The 26137-nt window shown below is 35.6% G+C and overlaps 1 protein-coding gene across 2 annotated transcripts in view; it reads right to left on the bottom strand.

Moving 5' to 3' along the window:
* Positions 1-2720: 2720 nt before the first annotated feature.
* The window catches only part of ANKRD36C (ankyrin repeat domain 36C), a 142893-nt gene continuing 119476 nt past the window's right edge, over positions 2721-26137 (bottom strand). The window contains exons 81-89 of one of the 2 annotated variants that reach the window (NM_001310154.3): positions 21229-21370; positions 13650-13863; positions 11098-11281; positions 9055-9969; positions 7498-7650; positions 5915-5985; positions 5483-5576; positions 4955-4984; positions 2721-4355 (exon numbers count right to left, since the gene is read on the bottom strand). In NM_001310154.3, coding sequence (NP_001297083.1) covers positions 4961-4984; positions 5483-5576; positions 5915-5985; positions 7498-7650; positions 9055-9969; positions 11098-11281; positions 13650-13863; positions 21229-21370 — 1797 coding nt within the window. In that variant the 3' untranslated portion in view covers positions 2721-4355; positions 4955-4960. The remainder of the gene's footprint in view (positions 4356-4954; positions 4985-5482; positions 5577-5914; positions 5986-7497; positions 7651-9054; positions 9970-11097; positions 11282-13649; positions 13864-21228; positions 21371-26137) is intronic. The other variant, NM_001393982.1, reaches the window with a different exon arrangement.

Consider the following 26137-nt stretch of genomic DNA (forward strand, 5'->3'; position numbering starts at 1 on the left):
AAAACTATAAAACACCAATGAACAAAAATTTAAAAACACAAGTAAATGAAAAAAAAAAATTCATGCTTGTGGATGGGATGAATTAATATTGTGATAATGAACAAAATACCAAAAGCAACATATTTGATGCAATCACTATCAAAATTCCAATGCCATTCTTTTACAGAAATGGAAAAAAATCTTGACATTTGTATTGAACAGACCTAAAATAGACAAAATAATCTTGAGCAAAAAGAACAAAGCTAGAGACAGCCTGCTACCTAATTTTATTACATATTGTAAAACAATTGTAATCCAAATAGCATGGTAGTGGCATATAAATGGACAAACTGGCTAAACAAAATGGAAAACCCAGAAATAAACCCACACACAGTCAACTTATCTTTGACAAAGGTGCCAAGGACATACAATGGTTAAAGGATAGTCTGTTCTACAAATGGTGTTGAGAAAACTGAATATCCACAGGAAAAATAAAGTTAGTCCCTTAACTTACACCATATACTAATATCAACTCCAAATGAAGATTTAAATAGAAGGCCTGAACTGTAAAATTACTAGAAGAAAACATAGAGTTAAAGCTCCACAACACTGGTCTCAGCAATACTGTTTTTGATGTAACCCTGATAGCAGTCAACAAAAGCAGAAATAGACAAATTTCTTGTGGCTTAGTTTTGAATTTCTGGTCATTTACTCAATCTGGTCATTACTTTCCCACACTTCATGGTTACAAGTAAGCCAAGAGGTGGATCCACCTTCCTACTGCAGTATCTGAAAATCACTGTCTGTTCTATCCTCGGCCTGACCCTCTCTGGCATTCTTGGGATCTACATTTTGATGGAAATGTAATGCTCTGGAACCCTAGGCATATATGAACCAGAAACACGTATGCAGACTCTACTTACAGACAGCAACATAGTTGGAAATATATTAATCACAGTTGGATAGGAACAAATATTTTATATCTCTTTCTTAGAGATCTGGATTCCACTAAAACGGATTCATGGATGTCAGGGCATTAGGGGTGTGGATTGATAACAAACCTCTCCTTTTTCAGTGCCAAACAAACTTAGAAATAAAAACAAGAGGTCAGATCAATATCCAAATACATTATTCCTCCTAAAGCTGATTTAGAAACTATGGCTTAATGTTGACCAAAAAAGACTTCTAATATTGCCCCCTAGCCTTGACTTTAGAACCTGAACAAAAAAAAGTTCATCTGAAGAACAGTCAGTTACCCACCCAGTGCAGGGAGGGTCTTCACCTGCCTTCCACTTCTCCTGTTCAGAATCCAGAGGAGAAAGAGAGACTAGATGTACTCATTGATCACTGAGTAAGTTTGCCTTACTAATAGGCAAACGTGGACCAATGGATTTGATGGGACCAATGGATAAGATTTCCCATCCACCAAATAAATCACATCTTCTCCTGGCTCTGGGAATGAGCCAGATAAAGGTGAAGAGTTGGCAGTGTTTCTACTCAATATTTGTGAGAAGACCGAAGGTGTTGTCAATGGGTAGACAGAAATGGAATGAGGTGGGAAAGTTTTACTCGTTTGACCAACTTCTTTTCATTCATGTAGTATATGCTGAAGGTAACCGCTAGAAGAATTGACTTCTGGAAAGATGATTTCCCTCACAATTGCTTGATCTTGAGTATTTTTATTTTTGTGTTAAAGAACTGATGTTGGTTTGTGTACACTGAAATAATGGGGGGAAGCTCTGTATGGACGGAAAAGAAAGTTTCCTTTCTTTTCAGAGCTTTCTGTTCAGGTTATCGGAGTCTCCCTATTCATGGGATGAGTGTCCACAACAAACTCCACAATCCTGTGTCTGGTCATTGAAGGTATGTATCAGAGTGACACTTGGAAGCATGGTATAAAGAGGAAATATGCATTTGTCAAATGAAAAATTAAAATATAAAAAAAGTTTAAAAGGAAAAACAGAATGAGAAGGGCAGGGGCTTGATTAGAGTTTTGTTAACTGGGACAAACATTGCAGTTTTAGTCAAATATTGCCATCTTTGTAGTGGAAGACTTTGACATGTAAGTTCTAGATTATACTTTCATTTATAAATAACTGTGTAGCTTAATGAGATGGCCCCTGTTAGTATCTTAGGCCATCTATTGAAGGTTTACTAAATTCTTCCAAAGCATGTGAGTCTGCTCCTCAGCAAAGCAGTGACAAACCTGCTTTTCCCTGGTTTCCCCAACGGTGTAAAAGCTTATTAAAGAATTCCTGAACAATATAAAGTTCTCTCAGAAAGACGGAACTTCCCAAGCTCTTGTCTCAGGAGAGAATGTGGATTATAGAAAGATTGTGGGTGTGAGTGGAGTGGGAAGTTATTTAGGTAGTAAGATTTTCAGGCTTGGCGCAGTGGCTCACACCTGTAATCCCAGCACTTTGGGTGGCCGAGGCGGGCAGATCACAAGGTCAGGAGATGGAGACCATCCTGGCTAACAGGGAGAAACCCCATCTCTACTAAAAATACAAAAAAAAACTAGCTGGGAACCTGTAGTCACAGCTACTCGGGAGGCTGAGGCAGGAGAACCGCATGAACCCAGAAGGCGGAGCTTGCAGTGAGCCAAGATCTCGCCACTGCACTCCAGCCTGGGTGACAGAGCCAGACTCCGTCTCAAAAATAATAATAATAAAAAAAAAAAGTTAAAGAGGCCAAGAAACATCATTTAAAACATGATATAAATTTTCATCAGACATAAAAGATACAAAAATATTTTCATTTAATAAATACTTTTGCATGTCACACATTTAATGGGAAACAAAATATCATGTTAACAGCCTAGTAATACAATTTTATTGTCTTTTAGATTTTTTTTGTCAGCACGTATTCTTTCTGTTTTGTTTTGCATTTGAGATGGAGTCACTCTGTTGCTCAGGCTGGAGTGCAGTGGCATGATCTTGGCTCACTGAAACCTCTGCCTCCCGGGTTCAAGTGATTCTCCCACCTCAGCTTCCCGAGTAGCTGAGACTACAGGCATGCACCACCACACCCAGCTAATTTTTGTGTTTTTAGTAGAGACAGGATTTCACCATATTGGCCAGGCTGGTCTTGAACTCCTGACCTCAAGTGGTCCACCTGCACTGGCCTCCCAAAGTGCTGAGAATACAGGCATGAGCCACTGCAGCCAGACAGCACATATTCTTGTTATGCTTTTAAAACTAGGTATTGATTTAGATTTTACTCATTAGTAGATTCTAGTGCAGAAGCTATAGAGCAGCAGTCCCCAGCCTTTTTGGCACCAGGCAGCAGTTTTGTGAAAGATAATTTTTCCACAGATGGGGGTTTGGGGGATGGTTTCAGGATGGTGATTCAAGCGTATTACATCTATTGTGCACTTTATTCCTATTATTACTACATTGTAATACATAATGAAATAATTACACAACTCATCATAATGGAGAATCAATGGGAGTCCTGAGCTTGTTTTTCTGTAACTAGATGGTCCCATCGTGAAGAGAAAGGAGACAATGACATATCATCAGGCATTAGAGTCTCATAAGGAGCATGTGACCTAGATCCCTTGAACGTGCAGTTCACAATAGGATTTTCACTCCTGTGAGAATCTAATGGCTTTGCTGATCTGACAGGAGGCAGAGCTCAGGTGATAATGTGAGCAACGGGCAGTGGCTGGAAATACAGATGAAGCTTCACTCGCTTGCCTGCCACTCACCTCCTGCTGTGCAGCCTGGTTCCTAACAGGTCATGGACCTGTCTGTGACCTGGGGGTTGGGGACCCCTGCTATAGAGGATTCAGATTTAAATTCAGAAGTTACAATGAAAAAGAATTATATTCTTTATCTAAATGATTTCACAGTTAACTAAGAGAAAGTCAGTATATGTTGAAAAGTTTATCAGTGTTAATAAGAATGAAAAATATGTACAATATGCAATTACTATTAAATATAATTTGCCCATAGTTGCACACTGAATTCATTATCATGGCAGTTAAGTATCAGAGCTTCTGGTTTCTCACTCTTCATTCATGTATTCAGCAACCATGTGCTAAGGTACTAGGACAAGCACTGGAATTACAAGATAAAGATGATACAGTCCACCCCTCAACAACTGTATGCTATAATCTGAAAAAACAAACAGGCAATTCCCGTACAGAGTCATACATACAATGACAGGCATAAGACAGCACTTATTGGAAGACATAGAAGGGATACTAGCCCAGGTTTGTGTCAATATTGTAGGCTTTTTGGTAGAGGCAATTCATAGGTTGATATCTGAAGGGGAAGGAAAACACATGTAGGATAGAGGGAAGAAGTAAATGCAAACAGCTGGAGGTGAAGACGATCACTGTGGAGCTCCATGTAGTCTAGTTTGGCTGGATGCTAGAACAAAGGTGCAGAGTATGGTAAGTGGCGAAAGATAAGGCTGAATAACTTGACAAGAACCACACTGATGTGAGAGTTTTGATTCCATGCTAAGGAATTTTCAACTTTTCCCACGGGCAAAAGTAAACCAATGACAAAGTCAATGACTAGAGATTTAAAATGTCACTGGTCAAGTGACTGCTTGTGACCTGTAATTGCTTAACTAATTATTATCACGAGTGTGGGGTCTGTTAGCCTTAAATCACTACCTTAACCTTGAGAAGTTGACGATGCCTTTGTTTTGTGAGAACAGTTTCAGTTTGCAGGCTGATAGTTCTATAGGGGTGGCAGAAGAAAAGTGTAGGGCCAGAAAAAAAGGGATACACAGACTTCTTGCGATTTTTTAAAGCTATGGAACATGATGAATTAACAAAGCATAAGTATTACCCTTCACTATGAATGTTTATGTTTTCACATCTTTCACTAGATGTGTGTAAGAAAAAATATTTAATGTAGCATTTATTAACCAAGCAATTGAGAGGGAATACCGTTCACTACTTAGAGTTTATTTCAGAAATCAATGATTGGAATTTAATTCATAAATTTTGGCAACATACCTTCATCTAGCTCTCAAACACCTGCAGCATCTGAAATAAATCAAATATTACTTATAATGTTTCAGTCAAACAAGAGACATTATCATGTAAACCCACTGTAAGTCAAGGAGCATCTGTACTGTAGATTGATCATCCCTAATCTAAAAATCTGAAATCCAAAATGCTCTACAATCTGAAACTTTTTGAGCACGGACATGACACCACAACTGCAACATTCCACACCTGACCTCATGTGACAGGCTCTGGGGAAAACAGTAAAAACTTTCTTACCTGCAAAAAATTACTGTAAAACATTGTAGAGAATTACCTTCAGGCTATGTGCATAAGGTATATATGAAACATAAATGAATTTCATGTTTAGACTCAGGTACCATCCGCAAGATATTTCATTAGGTATATGCAAATATTCCAAAATCTGAAAAAAATCTACTTTTGGCCCCAAGCATTTTGGACAAGGGATATTTAACCCGTCCTACTGGAAAAATAAAATTCCTTTTCAGTATGACAGAAATTAAGAAATCAGCTTACCAAACTTGAATGCTGCAGGATTTTCTCAAACCGCTCAATTTGTTCATCCTGTTTTTTAATAATTTTTCTCATCATGACATTTTCTACTTCAAGCCTAAAATGTGCATTTTAAAATAATTACTCTCACACATAATTGTTTTTAAATCATGTAAATTCTAAACAAACTTCTGAAGGTATAATTACACAAATTCTTAGCAATCACAAAAGTAGACGATTGGGCTACTGTGTCATTTTTCTACCTGTGTTTTGTTGATAATATGCAAAATTTAGGAATAATGTAGAAAAATGATGTATGTCAATATAGCTTACAGATGAAACTTTTTTGGCTTCACAAAGACATACTAATTATCATAACTGATACAATTTTCATACTACAGTGCTCCTTTGCTTTATAAATACTCAAGTTATTTTGTGTGCTGCTTCAAATTTTACTTTTGTGCGTCGCCTTCCATCTCCTTAGTACATCTTATAGTAGCTGTAAGTTGATCCTGTATTTCTTGAAACTAAAACAAAGAATTTTAAAAAATTACATTTGGAAATGACCTAAATGTCCATCAGTAGATGAATGAATCAACAAAATGTATATAAAATATTTTAGACTATCAGAATCTTTTTTATTTATAAAAGGTCATAATCTAGGAGAAGTCATCCCATTACCTGTTTTTTGTAATTAATTTTAGTGGGACACTGCTACACCCCTTCAGTCTGCATATTGTTCATGGCTACTTTTGTGCTGTAACTGCAGGGCTGAGTTATTGCAACAAGGATCTTATGGCTCACAAAGCCTTAAATAATACTATCTGGCCCTTTACAGAAAAGTTCACAGACCCCTGCTCTAGGACTAAAACACAACATTCTTCTTGCTTTTGAATTACATTTTATCAGTTAAATACTCAAACTTACAAACTGGTAAAATGTGGAAAGATAAAGGATTACATCAGGCTAAGCATTTATATTTTGAATTCCAAACACTACCACATCAACTATAATTTTATTTTTTGTATGTATGCATTTAGTTTTATTATAGCAAAGCAACTTGCACATTTTTAAATATTTAAAACTAAGCGTCATCTTTTCTTTCTAGGGAAACAACAAGAAAATTTAAAAACAAGCAGGAACAAAATTAAAATCGACAAAGTCAGTTCCAAATAAGATCCTACAGGATATTATTGACTCTCCCATTGAATAGCAGGACTCAGGTCATCATTAGGAGAGAAGTAATTTAAAAGCATCATCTTAAACTGCAAAGGTGTCCATTAAACATGCCAAAGGAGAAGCCCTGTTGTCTAAATGCCCACTTAACCAACCCAAACATCTCAAACCCATCCTTTGCTGACCTTCTATAACCCCCTTTTTAGTTTAGCTTTTTCTACAAATAAGAGAAAATAGATACATGTTGGCAAATGCGAACTGTCCATATTCATATAGAGACAGAGTGTGCTCTCTGAGCCCAATACAAAAGGAGTAACGATTTTCATCGAAATAAAAATTTATTCAGTAAAATGGCCTTTCTGAACAAATTAACCTGAAATCTATGAAATAAGTATACACAGGTTCTTTATACATTCAGAAAAGTAGAGACTAAAAAGAAGATAATTTTCTGAAACATTCCATTAGACATTATCCTCTGAATTAATCTGGCTTGCCTCACCATGCCAATAGAGAAATCATTAAAAATAGACGTTTAACAGGAAAAAAACTCTCTCAATTTCTGTGAGAAATGATGCATAATTCTCAACTTTCCTAAGGTTAAATATTTAAGAAAAAAATATATGTATAAAAAATGGCAGAATGAAAGCCAGAGATTAAGATATAGGTGCATTATAATAAAATCTTAATAAAATTAATAATAAGGAAAATACAGAAGAAAGCCATCCACTATAAAATTTTAATAACATTAATTATCATAAAAATACAAAAGAAAGCCATCCACTAAAATTAGTACCCCAAAACACTTTATATTAGTTAACTAGCTACAGATTAACAGTTGTTGGTGTGCAAAGTTGCATACATACTTGACTTCTCATCTGGTCTAATTTCTTCCTTGAATCCTGCATCCCATTTTCTAAATAGATGCAGTGACGCGATGAAGCATCCAGCAAAGCTTTTGTTGCTGATCGTTTGTTTAAGACATCATCTTGTTTTTGTTGAAGCTGTCTCACAGCTACCTGATAAGATGTTATTTTTGTTACTGATTTTACAAATCACCTTATTATTAAACCATTAATAATATTTAACTCTAAAGCATACGCTTTGAAAAATATCACCACACAGACCGATTCACCTTCTTTTCCTCATGTGTACACATTCCCGTGTATTACTGAATCCAGTTAAGGATACAGAAGGTGTTATCTTCCTGCCAAACTGGTATTGTTATTCACACAACATATTCAGCCCACTAGTCATTCCTCCCTTGATGAATCTGCAATGCTTAAAAACCTTCTGAAGTCTCAAAAAGAAATGAGTATGTGGGTGAGACTGACGGTAGTAAATTATACATTGTGGAATGATTTCCCTCTTTTTTTAAATTAGAAACTCAAATCAACCTCAGAGTTCCTCACATTAAATCATCTGCTTAAATCCTTCCAATAGATGTCTATCTCAGAAGAAAAGTAAAATTCCAGTGGCCTTAGATGCTCTAAGTAACCCGCCCTCCACCTCCCGCCCTGACTCAGCTGCTATATCTCTCCTCCGTACTCACTCCATTCCTACTCTACGTGAATCCTGCCACTCCTCGTTAGTCTGAAATCCTCCTTAGTCTGAGAATGGGGATCCAGTGTCAAACTAATAAATCACAGATAGCTATGCCTCTCTTTGTCCTGGACAAAGTTATATCCAAATGATAGTAATTGAGCCTTGAAATAAAAATTATGAGCAAATTTTTTATTTAAAAACTGAAAGTAAATTATAAATGTCAGTGGGAAGATTAAATCAAACATGATTTGGCTAAAATTTACTGCATTTTCCCCATATTATAATAGAAGTAAAATTAGATGCCTTGAAAGAATAGAATGATCATATCTATACATAATTTGAGATTGAAATAGTTTCAGATTTAAGTCAAATTGACATGAAGAAAAACAAAATTTTACCAACTAAGACATATTTAAAGCTACTGAAGAAAAGTAATTATGAAATAGGGAATACACTTCAGTTCATCTAGGAAATCTGAAATTCACTGTCAAAGTACCCCACTTAATTGAATCAATTTCAAAATACCATTTTAGGTATGAGCATTTCCATATACCTGATTTATCATGGTCTTAAAATGTTGCAACATAAATACATTAAAATTATTATTTCAGCAGTATAAGACTACATTATTAATGTTAGTCTATATTAACATTTTAAAACTTAAAATTTTATAAGTGACACATTAACTTTAATCAGAGGAAAGCATCTCTCAGTTCTAACTTTGACTTGCTGGAGACAAGGAATGTTTCTAAGCAGATATATTTATCATATGTATCCTTTTTTATATTCAACTAGATCCAACATTCAGCTGTAACCAAATATTACTTTAAATTTTACTTCAGGAAGTTTGAAAAATACTTATTTTTCTTGATACTTACTTCTCTTTCTGCTTTCTCTTTTTCATATTGGCATTTTTTTTCTTTCGAATGATTCAATTCATTCACCAACATTTTATTGTCTTCTTCTAGTAAGAGACGGTGCTTTCTGCACTCAGCTTGAAGGTTTTCTACTCTAGCATCACATCTGGCTTGAATATTAAGTATTGCTTTTTCTTGATTGTCAGCTTTGTTGCGAGCATCATCCAGTTGCTGTTGAAGCAACATATTTTGTTTTTTTAGTTGACAAAATCTTTCCTGCTTTTCTATGCATTTTTCCATTGTATTGTATCCACTTTTGTACATTTTTTCAATGTCCTTCATTTGACTCTGTTTTTGCTTTAGCTCACTTTGCACGTGTTCAAAAACCAAAGCCTTTTCTTTCAGAGCCTCTCCTGTGTAATGGAGCTCAGTTTCGAGGACTCTGAACTTACTCTCAGCTTTAGAAAGTTGCAGAGAAAGAATCAGAACATGAGAATTCAAATTTTCCTGTAAATGACAACATTTATCTACTGTGCCCTGGAAAGCAAGCTCTTGGTCTCTTTTTGATGAGTGACTTTGATCATGATCACATAGAGCAGCATTCAGTCTACAACGGTATGATTGCATTTCTGTTTCCAGTCTTTGCCCGCTCTCTCTTTGCTTCTCCAGTTTAGAACGGAGCGTTGTGTTTTCATCCGTCAGAGCAGCAAGCTGTCCACTATAACAGGCTATCGTTTCTGCTAATGTTTCCTCATTCCGTTTTAGAGCCTTTTGAAGGTCTTCATGCTTTCTTTTCACAATTTCAAAGTCTTTTAAGTATTTCTTTTCCAGGTTTTGGTTTTTTATTGTGTCTTTTTCCAGCCTGAGCCTGGCAATTTCATCTTGCATCAAGCGGTTTTCATGCAGCAGGTCTTCTTTTTCATCAGTTTCAGAAACCTAAGTAAAACAAAGCAAACTTGTAACTAGTATCCAATAGGATAACATATTGTGATTGCTTCTGAAATTAAATAATAACCCGAACATTTATACAATGAGAGGTTGCCATAACTGGATATCTAACTGGGAAAAAAGAAGTTGAGTCAAAACCTCAAACCTCATACAGCATAAATTCCCCAAAGTTCAAAAGTTTATTTGAAGACAGTGAATCCATGAAAGCAAAAAAGAAACCACTAGATAATTTTTTTAAATTTCAGGATAAAAAAAGGCTTTTACTGAATTACAACAAATTGCAAGGCATAAAGAATTAATAACTATGACCACATTAAAAAATTGGGTTTACACTCTAACATCTAAACTATACCTCTCCCTATAGTGAGAGCCTTAGCTTGGCAGATATTTGGACAGATGAATGACATTTTCCAAATTCTTTAAGTTCTCTTTTTCTAAAATATTGTATAGATATTCTACTTTTCTAATATTGTTATGGTCAATTTTAAGAATGACATTTATTGATAAATGATAAGTCTAGGCATTATACTAAGCACTTTTACACGCACAAATCAATGAACTCATTTAGTTATAATTCTATAGCAAAAGGTTAAAAATATAAGCAAGCTGCAGGATTTTTCCCAGCTTTTCTGACTCTATTCCTAGTGCTCTTCCATCAAATCAGTAACTTCTGTGAGGTAGATATATACATACAAAAATAATCTTTTATTTCAAGACACCAAAAGTCAAGAAAATTAAATCTATAAAGCTCTTCTTAGAAAATCATGAGATTATTTGCTATTGTGATAACTTTTATTCCTTTTCCATAACATTCGAAATGTAATTAATATGAAATAGGGGAAAATATGCTGAACTATGTCACTAGGAACAAAATACTAACAATATCATTAAGTATATATTGTAGAATAGCATTGTTTTCAAAAGGCCTTTGAACTAAAATAAAATATTTCAAGATTTATTATAAATAATTATAGTTATAAATGCCATGATTCATTTTTAAGATGAAATAAAATTTGGGGATTGTTCAGGCCTAAATAATGTACATTAAACAAAAGAGATGGTATAAGTAATATTAATAAGAGTAGAAATATGAAGTTTTACCAAACATTAATTTACCTGATTTGAATTATTTCCTCCTGTCTTCAATTCCACCTCTGCTGATTTGAGAGCCGGTTTAATTGGTTTTGTCACATCAGCTTCTATCCTATATTGCTCTTCTGTGATTCTTAACTTTTCCCTAACTTTTTGGTGCAACTCTTCAACATTTCTTCTTTTCTTTTTTTCTTGCTGTATGGCAAATCTGTAAATATACTTATCTTAGAATTTATCTTATCAGTGAGGACTAAGCTCTAATTTTTTATCTTACCCAAATTCCTACCTAAGGGGTCCAGGGAGTCGTGCCCTACAAACCATGGATTCTCATCAGATGGGTTTTATTTGACCCTGTATATTGTGACTTGCTTTTCAATCTGACTCTGGCATAACCTTACGAGACAAGGAAGAAAATATTTAATCCAAAATATATTTCCTTGCCATGCCTTGAAATTGCCCTGCAAAGTCTCTTGTGGGAAAAATCCACATTCTATAGAGAACCCCCTTTCCCCTTTGTTTTCCTTCCTTTCTATGCAGATCCAGGGGATATTCAGCTGAGACCCAGGCACCCTTTTGGGTCTGATAAGAAACATTTTACAATCTGCTGTCTCTGAAGTCTGCTGAGAGATTCCTCTGCACAGTAAAACTTGGTTTCCACAATCATTTATCTTAACCTGAACATTTCTTTCCATTAATCCCAGGTCTTCAAATAAACTCAACCAATTGTCAACCAGAAAATGTTTAAATTTACCTACAGCCTGGAAGCCCCAGCTTTGAGTTGGCCTGCCTTTCTGAACCAAACCAATGTATTTCTTACATGTATTTGATTGCTGTCTCATGCTTCTCTAAAATGTATAAAACCAAGCTGCGACCCAACCACCTTGGGCACATGTTCTCAGGACCTCCTGAGGGCTGTGTCGGGGGCCATGGTCACTCATGTTTGGCTCAGAATAAATCTCTTCAAATATCTTACAGAGTTTGACTCTCTTTGTTGATATTAGAAAATAAAACATTCGTATGTTGGTTTATTATCCTAATAAAATTTCTATGTTCTTAAATACTATTTTTCTTTCTAGTTCTCATGTTTTTAATTTCTCACCTCAATCTCATCCAAAGGGCATGTATAAGTTGAAATGTATTGATAAAAGAACATCCTGCATAAGTTTCTATTACTAGTAACTCTAGTAAATATTATGAAAAAGGATGTTGAAAATTATTCAGTAAAGTTACAAGATAAAAATCATCTTTTCTTCACACAGTAATTACTCCTCAATTAGGATGAATCATTTAGAGTTAATTAACATAAAGTTACTTTTTATAAACAAGTTGATACATTCACTAGAAATACATTTTCATCTTCATGAAACATTCATTGCAGGTATCCCTAAACATAATTTACATTGTAAGATAGCATTTTCGATGTCTTTATGAAACATATATCAGCAGATTACTGTAATCCAAGACTAGGTTAAGAATGTAATATGTTACCCTACACTTTTTAAGATTGTTTTTTGGGTAACACTTTCAGTCTATCCTGCTGATTAGTATGTACTTTATAACCAATTGTAAAATCTGTTTTGGAACAACACAAGATCTAATATTTAATTAAACAATAAAGAATAATACATGTCTTCAGCATAAAACTGAATTAATTTTATCTACATAACAGAGAGAGAGAGATGTTGAATAAGCTAATCAGTAATCACTTTCCATTTTACTTTTTATTCCCTACATATTAAGAATAAAACTGGATACTTTTTTTTTTTTTGAGAGGGAGTCTCCTACTATCACTGGGCTGGAGTGCACTGGTGCAATCTCTGCTCACTGCAACCTCTGCCTCCCAGGTTCATGCGATTCTCCTGCCTCAGCCTCCTGAGTAGCTGGGATTACAGGTGCAACCACCACACCTGGCTAATTTTTTGTATTTTTAGTAGAGATAGCATTTCACTATGTTGGGCAGACTGGTCTCGAACTCCTGACCTCGTGATCTGCCCACCTCGGCCTACCAAAGTGCTGGGATTACAGTCATGAGCCACTGCACCCGGCTGATAATTTTTAAAATAATTATTCTGGGTAAAGAAAAATATCTGTTTTATACTCTGTTGGTTGAATTATAAATTAATATAAACATTCTTAAGAACAATTTAGAAATATTGATCAAAGATCTAAAACAGATCTAAAAAAGTTTCTATACTTTAACCAGAAGAATTTATCCAATGTAAATAATTAGAAATGTAGAAAACTATGTGTATATAAAAGATGTTCCTTGTAGCATTATTACAAAAACTTTTTAAAACCTAAAATTCAATTCTTCAATTAAATAATGAGATTTCCAAAGGGTAAAATTCTATACAGCCATTAAAATTATGATTTAAAAGAATATGCATTTAATTATTAGAGAAGTATCACAATTAAGAACTTGTGATATTATATCCAATAATTTCACACTCCATAAGATTAAGAAGCTTTCTTCCCTGTTAAATCCTAGAAGGAAAGTTCGCAATTACAAAACTTCTCCTTATACGTCTTTAATATAAAACAAACAGTTCAAACATTTATTTAAAACTAGGTCATACCTCAAACTACAGAGTTCTTTTTCCAATTCAAGTGTTTCATGCTTTAACTGCGATTTTATTTCTTCTTTTTCAGATAGTCTCTTTTGTAGTACACTAGCCTTATTTTTCAGTTTTCGAATTTTTACTCTAAGTTGCTCACAGTGATTATCTTTAAGTTCTGTTAATCTTTTACATAAACAAAATGTCTTTTTAATTTTCAATAGGTGAACACAATCTGTAACCAGGAAAAAACAAAGTAGAGATAAAATACATGAGTAGATTTTTGGATATAAAGGACTGTGCATTTTTAACATGTATTCATTCATATGTTGAACAAGTATGTACATATTGAGTGCCTACAAAGTGGAAGATATTATAGTAAGGTCTGCAGGTAAGACAACACCTCTGCTATTGTTTTAGCTTAAAGTATAGTGAAGAACCAAGATAAAAAGGTGACAGTTATAAACTCAGATAGGTCCTGTAAAAAAAAAAAAAAACATAGTTATGTGATTGCATAAGATAATTTGATCTATACTTCACCCAGGGAAGATTTCCCTGAGGAAGAGATGCTACACTGAGAAATGAAGGATGAAAAAGAAGCAGTTAAGCAAAGAAGAAAGCAAAGCACTCTGGCTAGTTTGCAGCATGTGCTGTGCTGAAGCTCTGCTGCAATCTGTTACTAGCTCTGATGGAGTAACAGATACTGATTTTTCAACTTATCTGAATGAATAAAAAACAAAACAGACAAAATACATTAAACTGATTTTCAACACAGTGGACTTCAGGCAATGAAGATGGTAGGTGATCACTGAAAGACAGAAAACAAATATAGCAGGCCTTACAAATATCCCAGTTCTTTTGACAGAGTTTTGACGGAGGTTCGAGGCCATGACAAAGGGAGAAAATCTGACATAGAGCTGGGGTGATGAAGCTGAGAGGCCAGTAAAACGAAAGCAGATAGAGATCACAGGACAGAAAACTGGAGAGAAAAAAGCAGTACAGGAAACAAATCCTGGAGATGTGCAGAGATTCCCTCTTGGGTATTTAGTGGAGTAATGAAAAGTGCTTGTGTGCTAGGAAACTTCCTAAGAACAATGAAAAATAAAATTTAAAAAAAACAGTTAAAGAAAATTAGCAGAAACGATGTCTGGGGTTCACACAATGACTGGAAGAGGGTCCATTCCCATGAGCCAGGCCAAAATACCACATACTTCACAGGACAATGAATACTCAGAAAGGTCTTGCCTCAGGAGTTAGGAATTACCCCAAATCTAAAAGCAAGAATGGAAAGATTATAAGTAAATCTCTGTACTCCAAATAAAACTCAAGATAATAAGTGGAGGCAGGGAAGGTTTTTTTTTAAAAAAAACACAAACCATACTTGTAGAGACGCAAATTACATTGTCACAAATAAAAACTATAGTGGATGGAAATAAACACAAATTAGAGATAACAAAGGAAAAATTCCTAAATTTGACACGATAAACTGCAAGAAACTTTCAAGCAGTTAATAGATAACTCCTCAAATAAAAAAGAAGAGACAGAAAAAAAATTAAAGAAAAAATGGCCAAAAATATTGTAACCTTAACACAAACCATAATCCCACAGATTCAGGAAGGAAGTGTCTGGGACAGAAAAAAATGAAAATGTATCATTGTCATTTTTTATACCATCTAGGATGTATAATATTACTGAAGGTGAACTGTGATAAGTTAAAATTATATACTAAAAATCCTAAACACTAAGATAGCAAAACAGTTATCGCTAATAAACCCAAAAATATATATAAAATTGAATCATAAAAAACAGTTGACTAATCTAAAGGAAAGCAGGAAAAGAAGGGGAACACAGAACAGTTGGGACTAATAGCAATCACACAGCTACCAGACAAACATAACTATATCAATAATCACATTATAAATGACACTTGTCTAAGAACCTCAACTATAACACAGACTGTCAGGCTCAGCAAGAAAGCAAGACCCAACTACAGGCTGCCTATAAGAAAAGCACTTTAAATGTAAAGACACAAATTGGTTGTAAGGATGGAAAAAGATACATGCTAACAGTTGGCAAAGGCAGCTGAGCAGGTGTGGCTGTATTAATACCAAAGTAGATTTCATAGCAAAAAAAAAAACATTCCAGCAATAAATAACAAAGGTCATGTCACAATTGTAAAAGGTTCAGTTAATCAACAAAACATAACAATCCTAAGTCTTTATGCCCCTAATAACAAACCAGCCTCGCAATATATGAGACCAAAGTGGATAGAACTACAAAAAGTAACAGACAATTTCTAGGTAATCTGAGGTTTCAATACCCTTTACTCAATAAGTGATAGAACAAGAAGGCAGAAAATCAGCGAGAATAGACTTGAACAACACTATGCTTTCCAAGTACCCACGGAACACTTACCAAAATAGACCATATTTTAGGCCATACAACAACTCTCAAAGGATTGAGTCAGAAGGATTTAAGTCATACAAAGTATGTGCCCTGACCACAAATCAATCAGATTAAAGACCGATAACAAAAATAACTCTGGCAAATACACAAATATTTGGAAACTAAGTAACACACATCTAAATAACCCTGGGTCAAACAGGTAATGAAAATAGAAATAGAAAATAGAAAATATTCTGAACTGAATAAAAATTCATCAACCAGAATTTGTGGAATGCAGCTACAGCTGTACTTGAATACAAATTTTTAGCACTGCTGAATGTCTACATTAGAAGAGTCTTAAATCAATGACTTTGACTTCTACCTTAAGCAACTAGATAAAAGAAGAGTGACTTAAACCCAAAGCAAGCAGAGGAAAGGAAATAATAAACATCTGCTGTGGTCTGAATGTTTGTCTTCCCCAAAATTTATATGCTGAAAGCCAATCACAGATGTGACGGTATTAGGAGGGGGGATTTTTACAGGTAGTTGGTCATGAGAGCAAAGCCCTAATGAATGGGATTAGTACTTAGTGCTCTTATACAACAGACCCCAGATCTCCTTCACCCCTTCTGCCAAGTGAGGGCACAGAGAAAAAGCATTCATGAACTAGGACGTGTTCCCTAATCATACACCAAACACGACAGCATCTGGATCTTGGACTTTGCTGAACCCACAACTGCGAGAAATCAACTTCTGTTGTTTGAACCAGTCTATGGTATTTTGTTATACTGTTGGTTCCAGAAGAAACAATAGAAAAAAATCAACAACACAAAACACCTTGAGGAGCTCAATAAATGTGATAAAGCTCCATTTAGCCAGGCTGCTCCGAATAAAAGAAACAATACAAATTACTAGTTTCAGAAATAAACAATGTGACATAATTATAGATTCTACAGATACTAAAAATATAACAAGATATTATAATTTCTATGTAAGTAAACAGGACAACTTAGATAAAATTAACAAATTCCTTTAAAAATGAAAATTAGCAAATCTCAATCAAGAAGCAATAGATAACGTGAATTGCCCTATATCTATAAAAGAAAGTTAAGTTATAGTTAAAAACCTTCCTAAAAGAAAACTCCAGACCCAGCTGGCTATGCTGGTGAATTCTACAAAACATTACTGGAAGAAAATAATACAATTATACATAAACTCTCCCAAAAGAAACAGAAAGAAGGAGTATATCTCAACTCAGTCTGTAATGTTAGCTTTACCCTGAACCAAAACCAGAAAATATTACCAAGAAGAAAATTCCCTCATGAGCACGAATGTAAAAATTCAACCAATTTGTGATGCAACGAAGACATCCTCCCATAGTGGAGTGAATAAACTGTGGTTACACAGCCATACAGTGGAATATCACTCTACACATAAAGAAATGAGCAATCAATTCATGAAAATATGTGAAGGAAACTTAAATGCATATTACCAAGTGACATAAGCTAATCTGAAAAGGCTACTTACTGTATGGTTCCAACTATATGATCAGGAAAAGGCAAAACTATGGATAAAGTAAAAGGGTGCCAAAGGGTAAGAGACAGCAGGAAAAGATACATAGGCAGAGCACAGAGGATTTTTAGGGAAGTCAAAATAATTTATATAACATGGATACACATCATTGTACATTTGTCCAAATCCATACATGTACAGTACCAAGAGTGAACCCCAATGCAAATTATGGGCTTGGGGTGATTGTGATGTGTCAATTTAGGCTCATCTATCATAGCAACTACCACTATGGTGAAGGATACTGGTAATGAAGGAGGCTAAACATGTATTGGATTGGGGGTATACAAAAAAATATCTGAACCTCCCTCTCAATTTTGACAGGAACATAAAACTGGTCTAAAAATAAAAGTCTTTATAATAAATTCTAAATGAGACTTTAGTAAATTGTATCCGACAGTATAATGAAAAGGTAATACATCATAAACAAATGGGGTTTATTCCAGAAATGGAAGGTTGGCTTAACATTGAAACACCATCATTATTTACCACAAAACAAACTGAAAGAGAAGACCCATAGGATCATCCCAACAGACACAGGCATCTGATAAAATTTACTCCTGATGTCTCAAAGAAGAAACACTCTCAGTAACATAAGAATCCAAGGGAAGTTCTTCAGCATGATAAACAACGTCTATGATGAACCTACAGCTAACGTGCATCATAGTGAAAAACTGAATGCATTTCCCATAAGATGAGGAAGAACATGGGAATGTCTGCTTTCACTACTTGTTTGTAGCATTGTTCTGAAGATTCTAGTTAATGCAGTCAGGCAAGAAAAAGAAATAAGAGGCATCCAAGTTTAAAAAAAGAAATAAAATTGTCTTTATACACAACCATGACCATAAAATAGGTATGGGTAAACCCCAACCTGTGGGCCAGCTTCTTGTCTGATAAGCTTTTATTGGAACACAGCTGTGTTCATTAATTTATGGATGATCTATGGCTGCTCTCATACTAAAATGGCAGAGTTTATCAGCTGCAAAAGAGACCCTTTTGCCACAAGCCTAAAATATTCACTATCCTTAGTAACAGGGTAGTTTGAGAAAGAAAGGTTTAACAACCTTTGGTCTATGAAGAAAATCTGATCAAATCTACCAACAATGTGCCAGAACTAATAAGTGAGTTTAACAAGATTGAAGGATACAAATTCAATATAGAAAAATTAACTGTATTTCTATATGCTAGTGATAAACAATCAAATGAAAATTTTAAAACTATCATTTTCTATAGTTTTATAAAAATGTATATTTGGATTAGCAATGCTCAACCTGTATAAATAAAGTCAAATACATCTACATTAAGTAAACTATCATTTACAACTTCATCAAAAATGAAATACAGATAAATCTGATAAAATATGAAAAGACCTATAAACTAAAAACTACAAAATACTACTGAGAAAATTAAATATTACCTCTATAAAAGCAGACATACACTTTATTGAGGAGTAGATTCGCTATTGTTAAGATGTCAATTCTCCCCAAATTAATCTATAAATATGACCCAATCCCAACTTAATTTCCAACAAGCGAGCAGTCTTTATTTTATTGATAAGCTGATTCTAAAGTTCATGAGAAAATGCAAAGGATCTAGCACAGTCAAAACAGAACAAAGAACAAAATTGGAGGATTCATTTCAACAATTACTATAAATCAATAGTAACCAAAACAGTGTGCCATAGGTACAGGCTGAGTATCCCTTATTCAAAATGCTTCAGACTAGAAATTTTTCAGATTTTGGATTTTGGAATATTTGCATATACATGATGAGATATCTTGGGGATAGGACCCAAGTCTAAACACAGAATACATTTGTTTTTCATATTTACCTTGTACACAAAGACTGAAGGTAATTTTAAACAATACTTTTAATAATTTGGGGCATGAAACAATGTTTGTATACATGAGGTCGGATGTAGAATTTTTCCACTGTGGTGTCTGTGTTGGCAATCAAAAAGTCTGGGGTTTTAGAGCATTTCAGATTTGGGATATTTAAATTAGCAATGCTCAACCTGTATAAAGAAAGTCAAATTCAGACAATCCCCAACTTAAGGTGGTTTGACTTACTGACTTTACAGTGGGTTTACTGAAGTATTAAATTGCTTTTGACTCAAACACTGGGTTTCCCACAATTTGGGGAGCACCTGCAAATTAATAAAATTCAACAGACAGTCCAGAAATAGATAACACATAAGCAACCAGCTTATGACTGACAAAGGCAGGATGGCAATGCAGTGGAGAAAGGATAGCCTTTTCAACATGTGGTGTTGGAACAATTGGCTGTCCATATCCAAAAAGTGAACTTGAATCCATACCTCACCTCACTCCATAGACAAAAGGAAACTCAAAATGGAGCACAGATTTAAATGGAAGATCCAAATCTATAAAATTTCTAGAACAAACACAGGAAAAATCTTTGTGACCTTGTGCTAGGCAAACATTTTTACATATGACACAAAATGCAAAATCTGTAATTCAACAATTAAATTGGATTTCATTACGATTAAAATCTTCTGCTCTTCAAAAGATACTACAAAGCAAGTGAAAAGTCAACCCAAAAACTGGCAAAAATACCCTTGTAAAAAAGTAGCTAAAAGTAATAGTATCCAAATACATACAGAATTATTAAAATTCAACACGTAAGAAAACATCAACCTACTTTTTTATATGCAGAAGATGTGAAAAGACAGTTCAACAAAGAAGATGTACAGATGGCAAATAAACACATGGAAAGATGCTCAACATTTTAGTCATTAGGATCATGTACATTAAACCCATAAGAATATACATAATACACCCATCAGAATAACTAAAATTTAAAAAAATAAATGCAGCAGTAGTGTGACAACATAGCAACTGGAATGGTCATTTACTGCTGATGAGAATAGAAAATAGTACAAATATTTTGGAAAACCATTTAGCAGCTTTTAAAAACAGGAATATGAAGGGCCATGAGGAGACGTTAGTGGGTGATGGATATATGTTGACTATCTCGATGATGGTAATAGTTTCACATGTGTATACATCTGTTAAAACTTATCAAATGGTACCTTTTACATGTGTGCACTGTATCGCATATCAATTATACCACACTAAAGCTACTGATTGTAGGAGCAAACACCTAAGGCACTGGCTGTGACACAGAGAAGGGTATGCAGTGATGCAGTATAAAGCTCGAGGACTGAAATCCATACCTTATAGCAATAAATGGCAGCTGGGTTTTCAGCAAGCAGGTAACATGATCAGGTGTGATTTTTTACAACTATATAATTATGATTGCAGAACAGGCCATGGTTTTGGAAGGTGGAATAGTAGAAAAGACAGTTAGAGGGTTATCACAGTATTTCAGGTGGGAGAAAATGGTAACATGACCATGGGTAAAGGGGTAATGGCATAGAAGAGAAGCAGAGTAAACAAACACACTGTGTGTATCATTCACACTGAGAAAAGTACAGTGAAATGATCATAGCCCTTGGCTGAGAAGGTACAAGATACAGTTGCTTTCATTCTATTTTAACATAAGGCATATTTCTGAGATGAACATTCTTGTAACATATCAGTACTCTATGGTACAGTGTTAAGCAATGTGTGCATACATTGCTATAGGATTTTTAAAAAGCCTTATATTTATGCATTGGTCCTACCTTTACACTTCATTTCATGTTGATCAATGAGTAATATGACATTCTTACAATTACAGCAAAGCGAGTCACCGTCCTCTGAGACTGTTTGAGATGACTGAATTATGTCATCAAGGTCATCCCTAGAATGTATTTGGTTTTTCACCTACAAAATAAATAACACTGTTTCAAAATGTCCCCAAAATATTTATAGCATATACAAAATGTACAGAAGTGGGAATTGCCCATCTGTTTATATGAGCACAAACACAGGTACCTGTTCTGTACTTTTTTTTTAAGCAATTTCCTTTATGTTGACTCTAGTTCAGAAGACCACATGGTCTATGGATAAATTAGTTTCCCAGTTCCTATGCTATTTAGAAAACTGACAGAGAGACTTGGGTTAATTAAGGAACAAAGATTAAGAGAATGTCTTCCTGAGCTTGAGTTATTTTAATTGCAAAAACAATCTATTTATACATACAATTAGGTATTTAGATTACCCCATTTTACACAAGAGATTTTCATAAGTAAAACAATTCAAATGGATCAAATAATTGGTGAAGAGAAAAACCAGAGTAGCAGCAAGTGACCCTCTAAGTCTTTTGGAAGTTGAACTTTCTCCAAAGCCAGGAACTCTACTTTACTTGTAATATGCTTACCTCATTCTTAAATCTTTGCATATATCACTTAATTCCACTTCTAGACATACTGCTGATGTTCTGTCACCATGTGGTGGAGAATAATGCACATTTTCTAATTCAAGTTTTATGCTTTCATACTTATTTGCACTACAGTTGTCACATAACGGCTTCTGGAACACATTCTGTATTGGTTTTGTACTGTTTGTAACAACAGAAACACCATCATCTTTTTTTTTTTTTTTAAATCACATGCTTCATTTCTTTGGAGCAGGTAAGCCACATACCTAAAAGGCTTTTTGAATCACTAAATTGAGGCATATGTCCGATGTTTAATTTCCAATTAGCGGTGTTTTGGTTTTTTGTCATTTGCCTCACAACCTATTTGTCTTCTTTTATTTCATCCATAGCTACTTCTGGGTTTCTTGCTTTTGTACTTTCAGTATCATTATAAAAATTTTCCTTGTCTGAGTTAAAAACATGTTCAGTATCTGGTTTGTTGTCGTTTTCACAGTCTACTTTATTTGTATTTAAATAAAGCTCTGAAGGTGACTGGCAAGCATATTCTGGGGACCCAGAGTATGAATGAGAAAGAAAGGCATTTTTGAGACTGGGTTATTTTTGTTCAGGAAATATCTGGACTACTACAGAGACAGACATGCCAGATGCATCACTTTCCTGACAATCAGGTGAATCATTTGTCAAATTAGAAGGTTTTTACTTAAGTTTGTTCTTCCTGTAGAGTTATTATGTAGTTGCTCTTCCTCAATACAAGCAGTTTTGTAATTTTCACAAATTTCACCAAAACTCTGCTTTAACTTATTTGTGATGAATTTTAAAGGTTTTTTTTACCCTAGTTTGTCTTGTTTGATCCACATTCTCTCATACTTTTGTGCACAAGTAAGTCCTGCATATATAAAGAGGTCCTTTCTATCACAACACTTTTTCACTACTAGTTGTTGAGACAATTTTTGCACATGCAAAAGTGGAAGATAAATTTGCTAGTTTTCTTTCTTAGATGTCTTTTCTGTCAGAGTACATGTTTTAAAAATAACTTTATCTTTAAATAATCAAGTGTAAAAAGAGAAAAATTAAAAAATAATTAAAGTTTAATATCAAACTTCTTAATCTATGTTTACCTACTCCCAAATCACTGGATTGTAACTAAGAAGTGAAAAATAATTTGCATTAGCCTAAAATCAGTGAAAAACATAAACCATGAAACTTTAATTTGTCACTGTTTGTTTGGACTAAACTTGAATAATTCATTATGTGTTAAATTTCCCAAAAATGAATTAGGAGATGACTTGTGGTACTATAAAGGCAGTCACTTTAAAAGATTTTATCACTATATGAACAGTGTACACTTGAGTGCTTTTTCCTAATATTACTAACTAATGATTAGGCAAACTTTAAATTATTAGGAGCCAAAATCACCACCAGTCAGTAAGAAAAGCAAATTCTTTGTCTGGCAGCCAAGATGGCTGAATAGGAACAGCTCCAGTCTACAGCTCCCAGCGTGAGCGACGCAGAAGATGGGTGGTTTCTGCATTTCCATCTGAGGTACCAGGTTCATCTCACTAAAGAGTGCCAGACAGTGGGTGCTGGACAGTGGGTGCAGTGCACCGTGCGTGACCCAAAGGAGGGTGAGGCATTGCCTCACTCAGGAAGTGGAAGGGGTCAGGGAGTTCCCTTTCCTAGTCAAAGAAAGGGGTGACAGACAGCACCTGGAAAATTGGGTTACTCCCACCCTAATACTGCACTTTTCCGATGGGCTTAAAAAACGGCACACCAGGAAATTATATCCTGCACCTGGCTCAGAGGGTCCTACGCCCATGGAGTCTAACTAATTGCTAGCACAGCAGTCTGAGATCAAACTGCAAGGTGGCAGTGAGGCTGGGGGAGGGGCACCTGCCATTGCCCAGGCTTGCTTAGGTAAACAAAGCAGCTGGGAAGCTCGAACTGGGTGGAGCCCACCACAGCTCAAGGAGGCCTGCCTGCCTCTGTAGGCTCCACCTCTGGGGGCAGGGCACAGAGAAACAAAAAGACAGCAGTAACCTCTGCAGACTTAAATGTCCCTGTCTGATAGCTTTGAAGACAGCAGTGGTTCTCCCAGCATGCAGCTGGAGATCTGAGAATGGGCAGACTGCCTACTCAAGTGAGACCCTGACCACTGACCCCCGAGCAGCCTAACTGGGAGGCACCCCCAGGTAGGGGCAGACTGACACCTCACACAGCCGGGTACTCCTCTGAGACAAAACTCCCAGAGGAACGATCACACAGCAGCATTCGCGGTTCACGAAAATCTGCTGTTCTGCAGCCACCACTGCTGATACCCAGGCAGACAGGGTCTGGAGTGGACCTCTAGCAAACTCCAACAGACCTGCAGCTGAGGGTTCTCTCTGGTAGAAGGAAAACTAACAAACAGAAAGGACATCCACATCAAAAACCCATCTGTACATCACCATCATCAAAGACCAAAAGTAGATAAAACCTCAAAGATGGGGAAAAAACAGAGCAGAAAAACTGGAAACTCTAAAAAGCAGAGCGCCTCTCCTCTTCCAAAGGAATGCAGTTCCTCACCAGCAACAGAACAAAGCTGGACGGAGAATGACTTTGACGAGTTGAGAGAAGAAGGCTTCAGATGATCAAACTACTCTGAGCTACAGGAGGAAATTCAAACCAAAGGCGAAGAAGTTAAAAACTTTGAAAAAAAATTTAGACGAATGTATACCTAGAATAACCAATACAGAGAAGTGCTTAAAGGAGCTGATGAAGCTGAAAGCCGAGGCTCGAGAACTATGTGAAGAGTGCAGAAGCCTCAGGAGCCGATGCAATCAACTGGAAGAAAGGGTATCAGTGATGGAAGATGAAATGAATGAAATGAAACGAGAAGGGAAGTTGAGAGAAAAAAGAATGAAAAGAAACAAACAAAGCCTCCAAGAAATATGGGACTAAGTGAAAAGACCAAATCTACATCTGATTGGTGTACCTGAAAGTCACGGGGAGAATGGAACCAAGTTGGAAAACACACTGCAGGATATTATCCAGGAGAATTTCCCCAATCTAGCAAGGCAGGCCAACATTCAGATTCAGGAAATACAGACAACGCCACAAAAATACCCCTTGAGAAGAGCAACTCCAAGACACATAATTGTCAGATTCACCAAAGTTGAAATGAAGGAAAAAATGTTAAGGGCAGCCAGAGAGAAAGGTCAGGTTGCCCACAAAGAGAAGCCCATCAGACTAACAGTGGATCTCTCGGCAGAAACTCTACAAGCCGGAAGAGAGTGGGGGCCAATATTCAACATTCTTAAAGAAAAGAATTTTCAACCCAGAATTTCATATCCTGCCAAACTAAGCTTCATAAGTGAAGGAGAAATAAAATACTTTACAGACAAGCAAATGATGAGAGATTTTGTCACCACCAGGCCTGCCCTAAAAGAGCTCCTGAAGGAAGCACTAAACGTGGAAAGGAACAACCGGTACCAGCCACTGCAAAATCATGCCAAAATATAAAGACCATCGAGACTAGGAAGAAACTGCATTAACTAATGAGCAAAATAACTAGCTAACATCATAATGCCAGGATCAATTTCAGACATAACAATATTAACTTTAAATGTAAATGGACTAAATGCTCCAATCAAAAGACACAGACTGGCAAATTGGATAAAGAGTCAAGATCCATCAGTGTGCTGTATTCAGGAAACCCATCTCACGTGCAGAGACACACATAGGCTCAAAATAAAAGGATGGAGGAAGATCTACCAAGCAAATGGAAAACAAAAAAAGGCAGGGGTTGCAATCCTAGTCTCTGATAAAACAGACTTTAAACCAACAAAGATCAAAAGAGACAAAGAAGGCCATTACATAATGGTAAAGAGATCAATTCAACAAGAAGAGCTAACTATCCTAAATATATATGCACCCAATACAGGAGCACCCAGATTCATAAAGCAAGTCCTGAGTGACCTACAAAGAGACTTAGACTCCCACACAATAATAATGGGAGACTTTAACATCCCACTGTCAACATTGGACAGATCAATGAGACAGAAAGTTAATAAGGAGACCCAGGAATTGAACTCAGCTCTGCACCAAGTGGACCTAATAGACATCTACAGAACTCTCCACCCCAAATCAACAGAATATACATTTTTTTCAGCACCACACCACACCTATTCCAAAATTGACCACATACTTGGAAGTAAAGCTCTCCTCAGCAAATGTAAAAGAACGAAAGTATAACAAACTGTCTGTCAGACCACAGTGCAATCAAACTAGAACTC

The sequence above is a fragment of the Homo sapiens genome, chromosome 2 (assembly GCF_000001405.40).
Source record: "Homo sapiens chromosome 2, GRCh38.p14 Primary Assembly".
NCBI classification, from domain to species: Eukaryota; Metazoa; Chordata; class Mammalia; order Primates; family Hominidae; genus Homo; species Homo sapiens.